The following is a 19,529-nucleotide window of genomic DNA, read 5'->3' as shown; positions in this document are numbered from 1 at the left end:
AGGGGCTTCCAGTGTAATTGCAGGAGGTAGACATGTAAAGAAATGTGTGCCCTAAAAATTTAGAGGCATGATGAGGTATGTATATATGGAGTTCATTTGGAGCATACAGCAGAAAGAAGTCAATTCTCAGGGAATGAAGGAATATTTGGTCCCATATCCCAGAAAGCCAATTCTGCAACATTTCCTGAAAGGTCTATTTTCTAATAGAATTTTGAAGGATCCCTAGTTTCTTGTTTTGCTTGTGACAAAGAAGCATGACAGCACGTGCCAAACATACCTGAACAAGGGCTTTTGTTAATTGTGAAGGAAAAGATCCATGCTTCGTTTAAAGCTGGAAAGTACTAGAAGGTGCCTCAGCAGACAAGGCACTTCCCTTTCTAGAGCACATGGGAAGCTCCAGGGCAGGTTAGGTTTGGCTTCTGTTTCTACTGTTGTTCCCTGACACCTCATTGGCCTTTACCCACTCACAGCTTCCACCAGTAGGCACCAGATGGTTGGATTGATGAGGAAAAGTCCACACAGCAAGAGAGTTGGCAGCCAAGTAAAAAAACAGAGGCTGAGCAGGGGTTGAAAGGCAGGTGCTCTTGAATCTTTTCACTAAGCACCACAACATTTCTTTTTCTCAAAAGCAACTTAAGTTCAAAATTTCTGTACTTAGAAAGATACTATGATGAAGCCAGTCACGGTAGCTCACGCCTGTAATCCCAGCACTTTGAGAGGCCGAGGTGGGCAGATCTCTTGAGGTCAAGAGTTAGAGACCAGGCTGGCCAGCATGGCAAAACCCTGTCTCTACTAAAAATACAAAAATTAGCTGAGTGTGGTGGCAAGTGCCTGTAATCCGGGCTGCTACATGAGAATCACTTGAACCCAGCAGGTGGAGGTTACAGTGAGGTGAGATGGTGCCACTGCACTGCAGTCTGGGTGATGGAGTGAGACTGTCTCACCAAAAAAAAAAAAAAGAAAAGAAAAAGAAATAAAGGAAGAAAGAAAAGAAAGAAAGAGAAAGAAAGAAAGAAAGAAAGAAAGAAAGAAAGAAAGAAAGAAAGAAAGAAAGAAAGAAACTATAAACAAAATGAAAATGAAAACCACAGGTTGGGAGATAATATTTGCAAAACATCTGACAAAGGGCTTATATCCAGAATATATGAAGAACTCCTACAACTCAATAAGACAAATGACCTAATAAAAAATGAAAAGAAGATTTGAATAGTCAACTCACAAAATAAAATACCCAAGTGGAGAATAAGCACATGAAAAGATGCTCACATTCTTAATTATTAGGGGAATGTAAATTAAAACGATAATGACATATCACTACACACCTGCCAGAATGGCTAAAATTAAAATGATTGGGAAACCAAGTATTGAGAAGGAGGTGGAGCAACTAGAATTTTCATACATTGTTGCAGTGTTGTAAAATGATATAATCACTTTGGAAACAAGTTTGGTAGTTCTTTATAAAGTTAAACATTTATTTCCCATATAATCCAGCTATTTTACTCATGGAGGGTTACCCAAAACAGATGAAAGCATCTATTTATAAAAAGAAAAACTATACAATAATTTCATAGTAGCTTTATTCATAAAAGTCCAAATTAGAAACAATCTAAATGCCCTCACTATGGGTTTTATTAAATGTAAATATCCTAAATGTTTTTAATAATTATATAAGTTGTGGAACATCATTTAATTAACTGGTCTCTATTGTTTGACACCTAGGTCATTTGTGATATTTTTGTCATATCATAAGTAAAACTACATTTTCATAGCTAAATTTGTGCACAAATCATAATTATGTCTTAAGATACATCCTAGAAGAACAATTTTTTGGTCAAAGGTTGGAAATGTTTTAAGGCTTTTGATATATTAATTTCATACATACATAGTTATTTGATAAATCATCTATAACTGGGGAGATCTGAACTGTCTTCAAATGGGATATTTTAAAGCAAGCTTGTCCTGCATGTGGCCCAGGATGGCTTTGAATGCGGCCCAACACAAATTTGTAAACTTTCTTAAAACATTATGAGAAATTTTTTGTGATTCTTTTTTTTTTTTTTTGCCCATCAGTTATCATTGGTGTTAGTGTATTTTATGTGTGGCCCAAGACAATTCTTCTTCCAGTGTGGCCCAGGGAAGCCAAAAGACTGAACACCGCTATTTTAAAGTGTATGCCAATTGAGAAGAGGAAGATGGTATCTCATTGGTGCCTTACTATGCATTTTTCTGATTGCTTCTACCACTCTTTTCTTGCTATTTTGGCTGTAACAGGATTGGACCCAGGAGTTTATCATGACTAAGTTCAAAGGGTGGAGCAGCAGCAAACATGGATGACTTCTGACTCTCTAAGTCACCCGACCCCAGGGTCAACCAGCTAATATCGGTCTTGACATTAAACAGATCCCCAGGCAACAAGAGTCTCTGAACCAAATCCTTAGCTCAATTGCAGCACTGGCCAGATGGGAGAAAAATGTCTCAGTGCCCAAGGATCATGGTCCAATTTCAGACAGCTAAGACCTGAAGAAAGTGAACTAATTCACACTAAAGGGATAAGTGCTACTATGGCCAACACCCCTCCTATTATCATCTCCTTCACAAGCACACAGATCTGTTAAGACTTTGATCCAGTTACTAAGCTCTCCCTTGGGGAATCAACACCACCGAAAAGAAAAAAAAAAAATGTAATACTCAAGGAGCATCTCTACTTTTCTATTCTCCTTCCAGATTTATCGGAGATGGAGACCAAATAAATGCTTTCTAATATTTATAGAAAAACAAAGATCTTACTGGTAGAGGGGTCGATTTTTCTTTTCTACAACATTCCAAGTGTTAGCACATGCCCCTGACTTTTGTTCGACTTTTCCTGGCCAGAGAGAAAGTCTGTTTATCCTTCAGTCTGAAAGAAAACCTTGGGATGGGAATTCTCCATAAAGGCAGAATTGTTGGTGCTGGTAAAAGAACAATGTTGTGTATTGTGAACACGAAAATTGATGAGGTCAGAACCACCCCAGGGACATGAAAATATATATTTATGTAAGAGGCAGTGAAATTTGTCTGCAATTAAGTTTTACCAAAACTCTCAAATCTGTTGTTTGGTTTTAAGCAGATGTTGAAAAGGTTTATCCTGGATTCTGTCTTTATTGATAGGATGTCTTTTGATCTGCAGCCAAATAAGAAATCTGGATGTTATTTTGGATTTGGAAATTTCTTTTAAATAAACATATTAGTTAAGTATGTAAATCTGCTTATCATCACTTCAGGCATATTGCCAGAGTGGGAAACATCTGGGGCCTGGTGTCAGCCGACTTATTAATTCACACTTAGAGTATGTTTCACCCAGGTTACTGCTGAATACTGTTGTCTTGATTGCCTAAGTCAGCTGTGTCTTGACAACAGTTAGTTACAAGTTTCGAGGCTTAAATTTTGACTCATGAGAAATTCATGGAGTGGGGTCTGCCTGGACCTAGCGATTTAGGCTTCTAGCCCCCTTCAGGATTGATTTTGGAAATTAATTGTTAACGTTTTGGATTATAAATGACAGAGATCTGGGTTATTTATCTGAACCGACCAGCATGTAATTCCGGGAAGGGATTATATGGCCTGCTCCTGATAAGCACTGAAGTGGGGTCATTAATAGAACTTTCTGCCATAAAGCTCTCACCACTTTATGGAAGCGCCTCTCCCTCCAGTTCAAAGGATACTCAATTGACTTCAACCTGTAAGTCTAGGGTGAATCATTTTGTCTGGCGGGCTGGTAGATAATGAATGGGTACAGCCTAGCATTCTTATTAATACAGGTAATGTAGTATATAGATCCAGGGAGTGTGCTGTTCCTCATATGCTTCTATACCAAGAAATGAACACCATGGAATGAATGCGTTTGGAGAGCACCCTCATGAATGAAGACTTTGCACTCAACAGCAAAAATGTTTCTAGACATTGGTTGACAGAGCAGCTGGAATTCACATTCTGAGGCCCTGAAGAAGTGATTTGTGACAAAAATGAATTTGAGCAAAGCTGTGTTTATGTGTGTCTTCTGGTTAGTCCTTACAAAGCATTGGAAAGACTTTTTGGTCTTCCTTGGCATTAGCTAGGGTAATTAATACTAGCAACTATAAGGAAGAGTCCTCAAATTTCCGTGACATAAGAGAAATGAAATTGTGTTTCTATGTCACATTCTTGTGCAATGTGGGACAGCAGGGCAGGGAGTGGGAGCTCTGCTCCACGTGGTCATTCATGGATGACATTCTTTCTGTCTTGTCGCTTTGCCATCTTCTAGGACTTTGAAGTCCTCCATTGGATCTTCTCGGAAGATGAGGGAAATGAGAGAGTGTGGAGAGAGATTTTGTAAGTCCGGTCTGGAAGTGGTCATTGTTCAGAATCCAGCCACGTGGGTACATGGAACTGTAAGGTAAGTTGGAAAATATGCTCAAGTTGTATGCTCAACAGAAAACATTTGATATATATTTAGTCTTGCAGTAGGCATCTTGACCATAATAATAACAAAGATTATCATAACACTAGCTAACAGTTGTGGCATATGTAATACATGCCATGATCTGAGCTAAATGTCTAGTGATGCATCATCTCATTTAATGTTATTAATTCCATTCTGTAGATGAGTAGTAAACTGAGGCTCAGGGAGCTGAAATGATCCTCACAGTCCGATAAATACTGCAGCTGAGACCTAAACCCAGAGTACACTTGACTTTGGGTCACATGAGCTCAATTATTTTCTCCCCATGCACATCTTCAGACTCGTCCAGCGCTGGGTCAACCCTGTCTCCTCTCTTCCTCTTTCTCTAGGCTGACACAGGTCGTTTTACTGACCGAGACCTAAAAATTTTCATTTAAATCCCCTGTCACTACCACGAACCTACAGTAAATCCTAGTGGGGGAAAGATACTTGAATATTCAGTCATAAACAATGCAAACTTCCTGCTCTGGGATGAGAAATGGATAAAATTGGTACCAGACATTTTAAGTCCCAAATATCACTCTAGTTAAAATTTTCCCTTTATAAGTATTTTCCCCTTTATAGGTAGAAGTAGTGATGTTTAACAAACATTTAAGTGACTCCTCCAACTCCTCATAATTCTAAAAAATAGGGGTCTTTGTATTTTTTGTTTTATTCCAAACTTTTTTTTTTCAAAATAAGAAACATATTTTTCTATAAACTGTTATTTCCTCTTTACTCACAGTAACTGTCCTAGCAGTTGAGTTTCAGGACAACTTAATTTCTTTTCTCCCTCCCGCCCCCTTTTCTCTAGCTCCCTCCTCCCTTCTTACCTTCCTCTTCCCTCCTTCTCTGTCTTCCTTTCATTTAATATTTTCTAACCAACAATTTCATACTAGATTTATTATAATGACAAAGATAGCCAAGGTTTCTCCTTTCAATGGGCTTACATCTGGTTTTCTACAAAAAAATAAAGTTCTTAATTTCTGTAAGAGTGCTGTCCATGTGAAAAGAGATGAGGACCACAAAGTAGCTTACAACATGAGTGTGAGGAAATTTCACAAATCTCCCCAGCAAAGCAACTTGCTTGCATATATCATGTATGTGGGATTTAAATCTGAACCATACAAAAAAAGAAATTGTATTTTTTTGTGCACAAACAAATGTATACTTTTGAATAAATGAAAAGTAATAATACAAAATTTGTTAGTGGGATAAAAGGAGTAGAGATCAAGGAAGAAATCAGATGGAGGTAGCATAGAGACTGGATCTTCATTGTGACTAGGGAACCCTACTGGGATGGAACATAAGTGTCCGATGGCAGGAAGTAATGATGGGTCACTCAGCTCAGTGCTATCCATGTACCAATTGCCATACTCTGTTAGGTGTGAAAGGGCCCGGGTAGAGATGAGAAGTAAATGTGACTGTCTTTAGGTCTCTTTCCATCACAAGGTCCATATTGCTGGGATAAAGAGACCAGTTCTCCTCCTACTCATTCCCTACTCTATTGTATCCTGGGCCATGTGGCTTTCCTGGAAGTGGGGAAGCCATGAGCCATTGGTTGGCATGGCCTGTGGACATGGATAAACAGAACCCTGCCTGCCCTCCAGAGAGTGGCTGGAATGAGGGAAGAGATTTCTGCCAGGAGCAGGTGGAGACAGAGGTAGCAGGCACAGGACAATTTATTATCAAGGTGCTTTAGTGGCCTGAGAGCAAGTGTTCTCAGGAGCCAGGATAGATTCTAATTTGTTCTGTGTTTGCGTATGTTTGTGTTTGGGAGGACATGTGTCCTGTCATGGAGCTGGTCCTCCCTTCAAGGACACCTGCTCTTCCAGTGCGTGTGTTCACTCAAGAAGGGGGAAAAAACCAGTGGAGTGTGAGGGTGGGAGTGGGACAGATGTGGGAAAACTCTCCTCACAGGGTGCAGGTAGTGAAGGGGCCATAGTCGGTATAGAATTAAAAAACAATAATCAACTAAAAGTTGTTTTGCTTTTTATTATCACCATACTCCACCAATTCTGAGCCACTCTTCCCATCAGGGTGCCATGCCACTGAAACCACATGAAGCCTGCAGGCACCCATGGGGCAGGTAACCCCTGCAGGCCAGATTGGTTCCCTGCCCCACTTCCCACACTACACCCCCACCCCCATTACTGGCCCCATGGGATGTGAAGATTCACAAAGCACAAACACCAATGACTAAGGACACATTCGTTGTAAAGACAATTAATATTTTATGAACTAAATTAATAATTAATATAAAATAGATTAATACTCTATTTTATTAAATAATCATTTAATGGTTGTTTTCTCTCCCAAGGCTGAGTTTCTTCATTTTTCTTTCAGTCAAGAAGTTTGCATTAAGTCCTATAATGTGCAAGGCTAGGTGCTGGGCATGGGTGGTACGACACAGTAGACCAGACAGTGACAGGGAGCCGACCTCCTAGAGCTAGAGACAGGCAGGGGGCAAGTGAGCAATCCACAAACAAGATGGTTTTAGCTGGTGTGAGCTATCACGAAGGGGCACATTGTAGGGTCATGAGATAGAAAGTGATGGGCAGGAGCAGATCTGTATTGTATAAAGGTGATCAAGGCTGGTGTCTCAGAGGAGATATTGTTTGGGCTGAGATTCCATGTTTGGGAAGGAGCCAGCTATGGCAGAAAAAACAGTGAATGCCAAGACCGGGAGCCAGGAACAAGTCTGGCCTGTTAGAGGAAATGAAGGAAGGCTTGTGTGGCTGGCAATAAGGAGGAGTCCTTTTGGGGAAGAGGCTGAAGGGATGCAGAGGCCAGGTGCAGTCAGTCATGTAGGGTCATAAGACTGAGTTTGCACTGGTTGAGCCATGAGAAACACACCTTTGACCACTCCCCCCTTATCATCCTAATTTGCACAACTGCTTGTTTTGTGTTGTGTCTTTCATGTTTGCTAGCTTCTGCTGACCCTTTTCCCAGCACTCCAGTCTCCCCACCTCCTCTGCACTTGCTTGCACCACCTTCACTCTGTTCATGCACCTTCGAATGTCTTCTCCTTGACACCCAATTCCACAATATGGCATCTTCTTCATGCTGCAGCCTTGTCATCTAATGAGGAAGGAAAGTTTGATTGGTTCTGGCCACAAGCAATTGTCAGAACTCACATCCATTGTTGAGGTTGGAGGAGATAAACCAAATTAACCTGTGCCTTCCTTTTCTTATAAATGGAATTTCTTATCTTGGACTTTTTCTTGAGTCTTCTTGGGGAAAGAGATGTGAATGAGGAGGAGGGAGAATGAAGAAAGGAAAGATTAGGAGCTGTTGAGGCCTGGGAGAGTTCAGAGAGAAGGGTAAATGTCAGTCTGTGATTCCCTTACCTGACCTCTGTGCTGAAAGGAGTTATCTCTGTCCACCAAGTATATTTCTCTTTTCAGTCTTCAACAAAATCTTCTTCCTTTGGACCTTCGTCTGCAGATCTGAGGGAAAAAAAAACCAGCCATTTAAGAATTTAAAGTGTAAACTCACTTGGGTGGGAGTAAGCCTGATTATCCTCTTATTTAAGAATAAAAATGCTGGTGTATATCTACCTTTTTTTTCTCTCTCTCTCTACACACACACACACACGCACACACGCACACACACACACACACAATTTTTCAATAATTGGAGAGAAATGGCTGCTGGATTCCACTCTGACATACAGAATAGGTCAGGTGGATTCTACCTTTTTACTAAAGTAGAGGATGAATTCTATGGAATCCCTGCTTTAGTTTTTTCTTCCTTTTTTTTTTGTGCAAAAAGAAGAAAATAAATTGCAGGAATAATGCAGCAAGTTGTAGCAATAAGTGGATGGTGTCCTGGAGGACAGGAAAGGCAGATACATCTAGACCTCTTGCCTAGAAGCACTACATGCCTTTATTTTATTTTAGAAAGAAAAAGATGACATCATTTCAGGTTTTTATAGCAAGGAGGGTAGGATTAAAGCCCAGATTTTTCTGGGTTCCCTTGAGGGAGATGGCAGAGTTGGGTTCCTTAGATACAATGTCTCAGATGTATTTGTTTTCAGCTATTGTGATGGTTGGAGAAGCACCTTGTATCTTCCAAATTTCTGTTGAGGCTCTAAGCCAAATAAAGTACAATTGCCCTACAGATGACATTGGAGACTCAAGAGCAAATATATTCTTTGCTCTTCAAAATGTGATTTGTGAATCTGTCAATATGACATAGTCAATCACTAAGTAGTTATTGATCAGTCACTCAGCTTTGGATCCAGATAGGGCAAGTGCTTTGGATAAGGATAAGACAGAATCCCTAATGATGCTATCTAGTGGGGGAAATAAAGACACATCTTTAATGTGTTAAGAATTGTTTTATTTCAAGTCACAGAAAACCCATTCCTAACTGACTACATCAAAAATAAAATTATCGGTTCATATAAATGAAAAATTCAGGGATGGGATGTGTATCAGTTATTGATGAATAATAAATCACCTCAACATACAGTAGCTTAAAACAACTGTTTATTTCGCAGAAAATCTGCAAGTCAGCAATTTAAGCTGGGCTCAGTTGGATGTTTCTTCTGGTCTGAACTGGGCTCCCTTATTGATCTGCAGTTAGCTGTGGGTCAGCTAGGCAACACTACTTCTGGCTGTTGGCTGGGATGCCTTGGCTCTCATCCACATTGTCTCTCATCCTCCAGCAGGTTCACCTAGGCTTTTCTGCATGGTGCAGGATTCTGACAGCAAAAGTGCACACCATCACTTCCACTGGAATGCATGGGTCAAAGCAAGCTACAAGAGCAGTCCATATTCAAGGAGTAGGAAGTAGTTTCCATCTCTTAATGTTCTCAATGGGAGAATCTGCAAAGTCACATTACAAAGGGTTTAGATAAAGGAAATTGTGAAAACTTGTCTATATTTTCTCCCAACCAATACCAGCTTTAGGCATGGCTCTATGTGGGGCTTGAACAATGTCATCCTTCTACTCTGTTGACTTCAGCCTCAGGCTCCCCATATATCCACAATGGCTGCAGCAGTTCCAGCCCTCACATTCAAGCCTAGTGAGAAAGGACAGCCTGTCTAATCACTTTCCTAGAAAGTCTCATTGGCTGTAACTGGATCATTTGCCTATAATTAAACAAATCTCTCTGCCCAAGGTATACAGTATATTAATTGGTCTAGGCTTGGTCACATGTTCCACCCTTGCCACAGAGATGGAGCTCCACCAGAAGTGGAAAGTGTGAGGCTTTAAGTGTGAGAGTGAGGGAACCTCAGTGAAAATGGGTGGCTTTTTCCAGGAGTAATGGATGCTACTTGTGATAGTCATAGTGGTGGAATGACAGCAGATGTCTGCAACCCCACAACAGAACACATTGCATTTGTTACAGCTCTATTTGCTGCTTCCATATGATAAAGAAGTAGGTTAGAAGTTCTATGAAGCCAGATTTGAATCCAGATCTTCAGATGCCAAGCCCTGCATTTTGGCCTGAATTATTTTTCTCAGCACAAAGCATAATTCTTACATGATATGAGAAATGGATAGCCCTGCCTGGAAGGGCTTTTACTTTGTAATAGAAATATCACCCTGATTGATGGCAGCATTGGCTCTTCGTGATCATCTTCTAGGTGTTGCAGGATCAATAAACTTTCAAATACTAGCCCATTCACTAGAGCATTATCTCCCCAAACTTCTTTGTCCCTGCTTATATTTGTCAACTTTACAATCCTTTTATTACCAGCAAAAGCTTTGGGAAGCTACAAATAAAAGCAGGGATTATAAAAGGATTCTTATTAAAGCATGCTTTCTTTGAGGAACAGAGTACAATGTCCTCCGTTCTCCCTTTGTGAAAAGATGTGTTTTCTTGTTTAATTAGAATAGACCTCCATTCCATTAGAAGAGGACAAGTAGGGCAGCAGGGTTGAGAGTGCAGGCCCCAGGGGAAAAAAAAAGGCTTATTTATTTCAGCTCCCATCAACTTTAAGAGTGTACTGCAACTTTGTGAAATATTCTATCATATTTGGGAATGGATGAATACATGTAAACACCACCACTTCCCTGCTACAGAGTAATTGGTTGTAGTCTCCATTTTCTTGTTTTTTTTGTTGTTGTTACTTTGCAATTAAAGCCTGTGTTGGAGAAATGCAAAGCCAAGTGCATCAATTAGGGTCCTAGCAAGAAACAGATGGCACACTCAATTTGGATAATTCGAGGGGAGCTTAGTAAAGGGGCTTTTTGCAAAGATGTGAGCAGGATTAAAGGAAACCACAAGGGACCGTGCTGTCCCAGAGTAAGCAACCATGGGGAACTGTATCACTTAGAGCAGGTGTTGGCAAACCATGGCCCATGGATCAAACCTGGCCCTGTACCTGTTTCTGAAAATAAAGTTTTATTGAAACACAGCTGTGCCCATTTGTTTACATATTGTCTATGACTGCCCTCACATTTCAAAAGCAGAATTGAATACTTGCATCAGAAACTGTGTGTCCTACAAAGCCTAAAATATTTATTCTCTAGTCCTTTACAAAGGAAGTTTTCATCAAGGCCGGGACAAGGGTAAGGCAAGTGAGGTGTCCAGGGTGCAAAATTTAAGAAAGAATGGACTCTCAGGCCCTGCATTTGCATAACTCCGAGGGTAACCTTGGCTTCCAAGGCACTTTGCTTGCCACCCCTTAGTCTGGGCCTTGTTTGACAATCCCTGACCTAGAGAGTAGCTATAAAGAGAGTGCTGCTTGACAAGGGTGGTGGCTTTGCCAAGAGAGAGGCTGCCAACACTTGACAATTCTGCAGATAGATAGATAGAGAACAAAACCCACAGCCTTCATCGCCTCCTGCTTTCCAAGCCACCTGGAGGCACAGGGTGAGGGAGGCAGTTGATTGGGTCCATAAAGGTCCACCTCTTGGGGAACAGAATAGAGATATCTTAGGGTTCTCTAGAGGGATGGAATTAATAGGATAGATGTATATATAAAAGGGAGTTTATTAACGAGCGTTGACTCACGGTCACAGGATGAGGTCCCACAATAGGCCGTCTGCAAGCTGAGGATCAGGGAAGCCAGAATTGAAGAACTTGGAGTCTGATGTTTGAGGGCAGGAAGCATCCAGCACAGGAGAAAGATGTAGGCCAGAAGACTAAACGAGTCTAGTCTTTTCACGTTCTTTGCCTGCTTTTATTGTGGTTACGCTGGCAGCTGATTAAATTGTGCCCACCCAGATTGAGGGTGAGTCTGCCTTCCCCAGTCCACTGACTCAAATGTTAATCTCCTTTGGCAACACCTTCATAGACACTCCCAGGAACAATAATTTGCATCCTTCAATCCAATCAAGTTGACACTCAATATTAACCATCATGAAGTGGAGAAGAGTGGAGAGAATATCCATGGAGTAAACTGAAATAACCTGCTCTAAGCTCCAAGGCAATCCAGCCACTATGGAATCACAGTCTGGAGCTGGTAAGGATGACGGTGATCATTTGGCCCAAAGAAACTGCATTAAAAATAGAATACAAGGAAGAAGGCTGGTGGCTCATCTACTCAGACACTTACTTTACCATTCAGAAGTAGGAAATCCATCCCAGGTCTGAGTTATATAAAAACAGAGTGAACTCTGAATTTCTCCATAACGCACACCACAGTTATTATTAAATGATGATTCTCTCATTATTTAAAGTCTGTTTTCTCTACTGTTGGCTCTACAGTTCGTTGGTCTATGCCCAGGACCCAGGCCAGTGCTTGGCACATAGTAATTGTCCAGGAAATATTTGTAGAGGGCCAGATGTGTTGGCTCATGCCTGTAACCCAGCACTTTGGGAGGCCAAGGTGGGAGGACTGCTTGAACCCAGGAGTTTGAGACCAACCTGGGCAACATAGGCAGATCCCATCTCTTTAAAAAATTTTTTAAAATAAATATTGTTGAATGAGGTAATTGGATAAAAAAAGATATGTGAAAGACCTCGCACTTAAAGGTAGCACAGTATGTCTGTGGAAGGGGAAATGGGAAAATGGCAAACAGGAAAAGTAATTATGTGAAAGTCCTTATATCAGAAGCAATTGGGACAAATAGGTAGGGCTTGAATTCAGAAATGATTAAAAACGATCCATACTTTAAATATTTCATTTTATTTTAACACAAAACCTATACATTGTTTTGGGTTATCGTTTTGACAATCATTTGATATATGACTTAGGCTTTTAAAAAACATGGTTACATTCCATTGCTAAGACGTCTAGATTGCCTTTCTTGTATAAATCACACTCGCAATGCATTGTCCATGAATTTCAGTTTGTTTCTTTAACACAGAATGTGAAGCCTTGGGAAACTAAAAGAACATTCTGAGGGCAGGTTCCACATAGACCATAACTTTTGTCAATTTTTTGTTACAGGTCTGCCAACACTCTTTTTAGTAACTTGCTTTTATCAAATCTTTCCAAAGCGTTCTATCCAGTCTTCACAGAAATATGTTTTTTTCTGACTCACATTACATTAAGGTACATAATGACAATAAGAAATACAGTGAGCATAAACAAGCCTGGGAATGAACCTAATAGACTCTTAGTAAACATAGCACTCAAAGATGGGAGAGCAGGACCTTGGACATGCTGGACAGTAGCCTACTTGCCAAGAGCCTCTAACCTGCATTAGAAGCATGTTTTATAGGAAAAAGGGAGAACTTTGGTTTGTTTAGTGAACTGGTTAAAAGGAGGTTATTTAGTTGAGATTCTTCCATATGCAAATTAGGAGACAATATTTTTAAGATCATATTACAAAGGTCAATCCTGCTACTACTAACTTTTGCCTTTCTATCTTGCAAAAACAATCACATGAAAGATGAACACAGGCCAGGCATGGTGGCTCACACCTATAATCCCAGCACTTTGGGAGGCCAACGTAGGAAGATCGCTTGATCCCAGGAGTTAGAGACGAGATTGAGCAACATAGGGAGACCCTGTCTCTAAAAAAAAAAAAAAAAAAATTAAATTTGCTGGGTGGGGTAGCACGCACCTGTGGTTCTAACTACTTGGGAGGCTGAGGTAGGAGGATCGCTTGAGCCCAGGATGTTGAGGCTGCAATGAGCAGTGATTGTGCCACTGCACTCCAGCCTGGGCGATGCAGTAAGACCCTTTCTCAAACAAAAAACAAAAAACACTCAAACTGGACAATGAAGCTCCTTACAGTTGACTTCATTGAGGGTTATCACTGTGAACTTTCTCTGGTGGTTTCTCTAGCAAAGACCCAATGTCGTCATCTGCTGGCAACTGCATGTACTTGTTTTTCCTTGGCCTGATTTTTGCCCAATAACTTGGATTCCTCCTGAGTGGTGGGGGAAGAGGAGTGTGAGTACAAAGCTAGATATACCAATCTGAGTATACCCAAGGGCAGGTAATGGTGCTCCAGTCCTTTTTTGGAGGAAGTGTTCTGCATTGAAGAAAGATCAGTCATTACAAGCCTTGTGCTCCAAACCTAGCCCTTCCACTTATAAACTTTGTGATCTTGGGCAGGACACTTAAACTGCTATGTCAGTGTTAAATTATCTGTAAATAGTAATTTATAAATACATAATAAATAATAGCCATTCCTTACCTTTCTCATAGGAATGCTGTGAGTCTCAAGTGAAAAAGTTGCAGTGTAGAAATGTTAACTGTTTCCCTTCACACGTCTTCCTAGCATCTGGAAGAGTGGGGATGGGCTCAGTGATGCTACAGTAGCAAGCAACCATCACACTTCAGGGGCTCAAAATAACACAAAGGTTTATTGCTTTTATCACTCTCATTATGTGTCTATCATAGGTTGGTGGGGGTCTCTGGTGAGCATATTCACTCACTATGGATACAGGTTTATGATGCAACCACCATCTTGAATATTGGCAATTTTCATGGCAGAGGAAAGAGAGATAGCTCTGTAAGGTGTCCACAAGCAATTAAATATTTGATCTGAAAATGAAACATGAAACCGCTGCTGCCAATTCATTGGCCAAACCTATTTACATGGCTCCCACCTACTTCTAAGCAGGGCAGGAAGTATAATCCTTCACATACCTCAGAGACTAAAAACTGGAGATTCTTGGTGAACAGCACTAATGACTACCACACCACCCTTTTATTTCATCTTGATTTCCTTCCCTTTTCCTTTTTTTTTTTTAAGAGAAAATAGAGTACAGTGAAAGTGTAAACTTTGAATCCAAGCCAAATACCATTTCTGTTACCCAGCAGTGTGGGTGACCTTGGGCATATCACTTAAACCTGTCGTCAGTCACCTTATCTTAAAAAGGTGCTTGTTGTGAAGATTAAATGAAGGAATACATGGAAAACCTCCAAGAACAGGGTAGAAACTTAACGAGTGTCTGTTTCCTTCCTTAATTCATCAGTTTCTCCCCTCTCCTTTCTCTCTATTTCACAAATTCTCTTTGGAAGAAAAAGGGGAAGATTTTCGGGTCTGCTGTGGATCCAGAAAGAGAAATCATTTCTGCTTTTACTATGTCCTCTACTTCCAGCCCTGTCTTCAGATAACATGAAAATGGAAGCCAGAATCAACCTTGATCACCCAAGATCATCTCAAGGTCATCTCAAGGTGTTGCAAATTGCAAGGAAATGCTTAACCAAGTAGTTGCTGGGAGATTTGCCTGAGTCACCATTCTCTCAAAAGGCAGTGTACTATCCAATAGTTCCAGTGCTTCTTAAACTTCAGTGTGTGAGAATCACTAGAGGATCTTATAAAATGTGGAGTCTTATTCTGCAGGTCTAGGGTGAGGCCCAAGATTCCAATGAGCTTCCAGGTGGCGCCAATGCTCCTGGTCCCTGGACCACACTTTGAGTAGCAAGGTTCTAGGGGAATGAAATGAAGATTTAGGGGCTGTAGACCTAAATTAGAATCCTGGATCTGCTACTCATGAGTAGCAAGGCTTGGACACCATACTTTTCTACTCCATCATTCTGTTTCCTCATCTGTACATCAGGCACCCTCACAGTGTTATCAGGAGGCCTCAGTGAAATCATACATGTAAAAAGCTTTATTAACTGGAAAGCACAGTGGAGTGTTAGCTTTTAGTGGAATCTCTTCAGCTGTCAAGCACTGGGCTCTCTCTAAACCAGAAGTGATTCTGTCCTCTCCCCTTTTTTGCATTGCCTTACATACCAGATGCTGGAAGATGCCTCTTTCCCATATGCTGTGGTAAGCACTTCTCACTTCCAGAGAGATTTACCTTCTGTAACTGACAAGTGTCAGGGAAAAGTGGGAGAGGAGCGCTAAATCTAGATCAGGTACGCATACGTGTGGGCAGGGAGCATGACAGACAGCTGGGGGGTGCGTGGCCCCAAAGCTAAGCAAAGTGAGTATAAATGGTGCCCACAAAGGCATCTTAACCAAATAGAACCTGTTAAACCAGGCCATGAGCAGCGAGACCCTACTTTTTCTTATGGGATGCGGTGATAAAGAAATTACATAGTTATTTGAGAGGAACATAAATAAAGATTAATAGGTTAATGAGTTATTTTCCTTTCATTACTACACTATTGTACTTTATTATAATTGCTTTGCACTCATTTAATTAAATTTGAACTGGGGCCAACACAAGATAATTTGTTTTCCCTGTACTGAACAATGAGTATGCAGATTGGATGTACTGAAGCAGTAATCAGCCCTCTGTTTGCAACACTTTTCTACTCTGAGTAGACATTATAATTGATAATTTGATTGTTGCAGCACTCTGTGCAATATATTTTAAAGCAACATTAACATAATGGAAATTATGTTGTGAGCTTAATCTCAGCTTTTCACTGAGAGGCTATCTGGTTCCTCAGCGTAAACCAGTCAGGTTCTGACAACAGCAGGTTTCTCTCTCATTCTTTCTTTTTGTCTCTCTCTCTGCCTCTCTCCTTCCTTCCTTTCTTCTTCCCTCTCCTTTCTGCTCCTTCCTCCCTCGCTCCCTCCCTGCCATCTTTTGTCCCCATTCTGCCCTCCCTTTCTTCCTTTCTCTCCCATCTTTTTTCCGCTTCCCTTCTGCCCCGCTGCCTTCCCTCTGTCTTTCCTCCCTCCTTTCATAATTGCATTATTTTCTTTTCTTGCCTGCTTCTCTAGCTCTATTGAAGAAAGAAAAAAGATGAAATAAGGGTTGTTGATAGCAGCCATTCCCAGCTGCATTTCCTAATTTTGAGACCTGTTCACATCCGGGACATTTGAGAAAAGCAAACAACAGCCTTTCCCGCAAACACCTAAGTAGGAAATTATTCCTGGTGGTCAGTGTGGTAGTCAGCACCACTCTTTGTGTTGTTGGTCAACATAGGGATTAATTCGCAAGGCAGTCATGAGCTCTTCAAGGGCATTTCTGCACGTATGGGCAGATGAGGAAAAAGTCACTGGTGTTTCCTTTGTCCAAAGTCCATTCTTCCTTGGAGCTGCAAACACTTTCTTGAAAAGATGAGGCCTTTATCCTTACGAACACATTCTGCAGACTGATTCTCTTTGGCTCAAAGATTTCCTGTCCCGTAATGGAAAGTAGGTGTGACGTTCTGTTTGATAATCCCAGGCCAGAGATCTTGGATGCAGGTGAGGAAATTTGTGCCCCTGTGACTTCTATTGAATTTTCATAACTCTGTAAATATTTGTTTCTGTGTTTGTTTTGGGAAGAAAAACACCTGTGAGTGGTTGGAAATGACTGTGTTTGTTTGGAAAAGCTGAAAGAGAGGGGTCTGAGCATTTTTTATTCTTCATTAAACTGTCCAGGCCCTGAATTTGTTGCAAAAAAATCGAATTTATTTGAAGAAAAGCCTATTCTTTAATCTCTTTGTTCTAAGGCGTGGGCACCCACACTCTAGTCGGCTGCTTTACTTTCAAACTCTCTGTCAGTGTGGAGGAAAAAATCCCACAACGAGAAGCATTTTTTTTGGAGGGGGCAATGTTTTGGAGAAGGCAGATTTTTCTCTGACACATATTAAATTTCTCCAGTGAACACTTGGGTGACATAGCTGCATCTGAGTGGCTTTTCTTTTCTCTATGTTGTTATTTTTCATAGAAAATTGGGCTAGAGCTTATTCATGAATCAATTACTGAGTTGAGAAGTAGCACTCTTAAGTTTTACTTTTTAGCTCACTATTTCCTTATCTGTTTGTGGGAGAGCGTGTTTTAGTCTCTCTTGTTATTATGAGACAGACTTCTCTCAGCTGGGTCTATTGTTCTAATTATTATTATTTTTTAAAAAATGTTTTTAACAGAAACAGGACCCAGAGAGTTAAGTTGGGTTTTGCTTTGTTTTGTGTTTACATTTTAACCTCTGTTAAAGATACAGGAAAGAAAACTTCAACTTGCCTGGATGGAGGGTGCTTCCTCTTGTGCCCAGATGTTGAGTTTAAATTGAGAAGCTCACAGCTGTGATGCTGTCGCAGCCTAGAGACACAACTGCAGTTTCTTGCATCAGCCCACCCGTGGCTCCCTGACCCCAGGGACATTGCTAAGCAAGCCTGTTGCCAAATAAGAACTCGAGGGTAGATTTGGAGCACAGGTATCAGACATACAGCAGCTTTCCACTGCGGGAAGCCGGGGAAAAGGACCTCTCTCCCAGTGGGCCCAAACACAAATTCCTGGCACTTGCCACGTATCTGGACATCACAGCACTTTGAAAGATTCGTCTTGGCACTTCAGTTTATATCTGTCATAATTTGGTTTCCCCAAAGCATACCTTAAGGCAAGGTTTCTTAAGGTCAGCAGCAGAAAGATGGGTCACGACAGTGCACATGAGCAGCAATGCTGAGACCAGATGGGTGGCACGGGCAGCACTGACTACAACTTTGCTGAGAAAAATCTCATGTGCACCTATTCTATCTGGACTGTAAGCTCCATGAGGCAAGTGCTGAACTTAAGTATCAGTCTGTGTTCCACAGTGCCCACCTGGATGATAACATCACCCAAGCAGCATCCATCCTGGTCCAAGCATTGTGCTGAGCACATTATAAGGGTGACCCCTGTCAATCTTCCCAACAGCCCAATGAGGTATCTCCATCTTACAGATGAGGCAAGAAGCACAGAGTTTAGTACCTTGCTGAAGTGGTAGAGTCAGGATATTTAAACTTAGGCAGCCTGGAGCCTACCCTTTTGCCACTGTGGGGACCATGTCTCATGGCTGTCTGGTTAGGAATCTGAGTCTGGAAGCTTTAGAGACCATCACCACCATAACTAGAGCTGTCCTTTGTTGAATACTTCTCATGTGCCTTGTCTTGGGATAAGTGCTTTACATTTGTTATTTTGCTTTAATTTGCTCATTGAGGCTGCTACCCCCATTTTAGAGCTAGAGACACTGAAGTTCAGAGAGATTAAACCACGCAGCTCACAAGTGGCTCTGTCCAAACTCTATCTACTCCCTGTCACCAGACACCAAAGCCATGACTTCAAGAAGTGACATTTTCCACTTGAGTCTCTGCAGCAGTAGCAGGCAAATGATGATGGAAATCAAGAAAGTTGTGTCCCCTGACTCATCTCAGAGGTAGCAGGTGGGCCACGGGTCATTCAAGAAATGGAGGTCATTGAGGACAACTTCCCCCCAGATTCCTATCACAAACCTGGCACAATCAGGTGAGGTCGTTGCTGTTTTTTTTCCCCAAATAACCTTGATAATATTCAAAGTATTTTACAGTCTGCTTCCCCTTCACCTGGTGCAGTGGCAAGGATACCGGAAAAGAGACAAACCTACCAGGCTTGCAGAAGTCACTATTCCAACTCACCCTTGAAAATTCTTTTCTCCCTATCTGTGCTCTATCTCTGCTCCATGCATGGGGGCAACAGTGAGGGTGCACAGTTGTTATTGGTGGTGGTGGGCTGTAGCAGGCAGGAGAAAGGGGTAGGCACCTGTGTTCCTCTGAAAGGCATGCTGGGCACTCCCTAGGTAATAACAACTGGGGACCTTCCTCTCTCTTCCTCTCTTTCCTTCACTAGCTCTTTCTCCTCTTTTGTCACTCCTTTTTCCATGTCCTTTCTAGCAAAGGAAGCCCATTGTGGTGGAATAAGGTCTGCCTAGGAAGCTAGGTGACCTTGCTAACCACAACAACCACGGTCACCTTGTGTTTAGCAAAGAACGATGAACACTGCATTCGGACTAGATGGCCCCAGCTCTGTGTTT

At 41.4% G+C, this 19,529-nt stretch overlaps 2 long non-coding RNA genes across 2 annotated transcripts in view, besides 1 other annotated feature; one reads left to right on the top strand and one right to left on the bottom strand.

The window, feature by feature from the left end:
- Positions 1-19,529, top strand: part of CASC16 (cancer susceptibility 16) — a 54,889-nt gene that overhangs the window by 11,629 nt on the left and 23,731 nt on the right. The window contains exon 2 of the long non-coding RNA NR_033920.1: positions 4,280-4,411. This is a non-coding gene — a long non-coding RNA (cancer susceptibility 16). The remainder of the gene's footprint in view (positions 1-4,279; positions 4,412-19,529) is intronic.
- LOC105371265 (uncharacterized) lies at positions 6,736-14,194 on the bottom strand. The gene is made up of 4 exons (XR_933581.3): positions 14,006-14,194; positions 7,807-7,905; positions 7,426-7,537; positions 6,736-6,905 (listed from the first exon to the last, which is right to left on the bottom strand). It is a non-coding gene; the product is annotated as an uncharacterized LOC105371265 (long non-coding RNA).
- Positions 16,900-18,099: an enhancer, noted in NCBI's record as "BRD4-independent group 4 enhancer chr16:52611160-52612359 (GRCh37/hg19 assembly coordinates)". NCBI's record gives its function as "activates an origin of replication core promoter dependent on BRD2, P300/CBP, MED14 and CDK7 cofactors, and independent of BRD4, by STARR-seq in HCT116 cells {active_cell/tissue: HCT116}" and the evidence as "EXISTENCE:reporter gene assay evidence [ECO:0000049][PMID:35650434]".

Source organism: Homo sapiens, chromosome 16, assembly GCF_000001405.40.
Source record: "Homo sapiens chromosome 16, GRCh38.p14 Primary Assembly".
NCBI classification, from domain to species: domain Eukaryota; kingdom Metazoa; phylum Chordata; class Mammalia; order Primates; family Hominidae; genus Homo; species Homo sapiens.
Note: the sequence above shows the minus strand (reverse complement) of the source record. Positions and strands in the feature narration are given on the sequence as shown.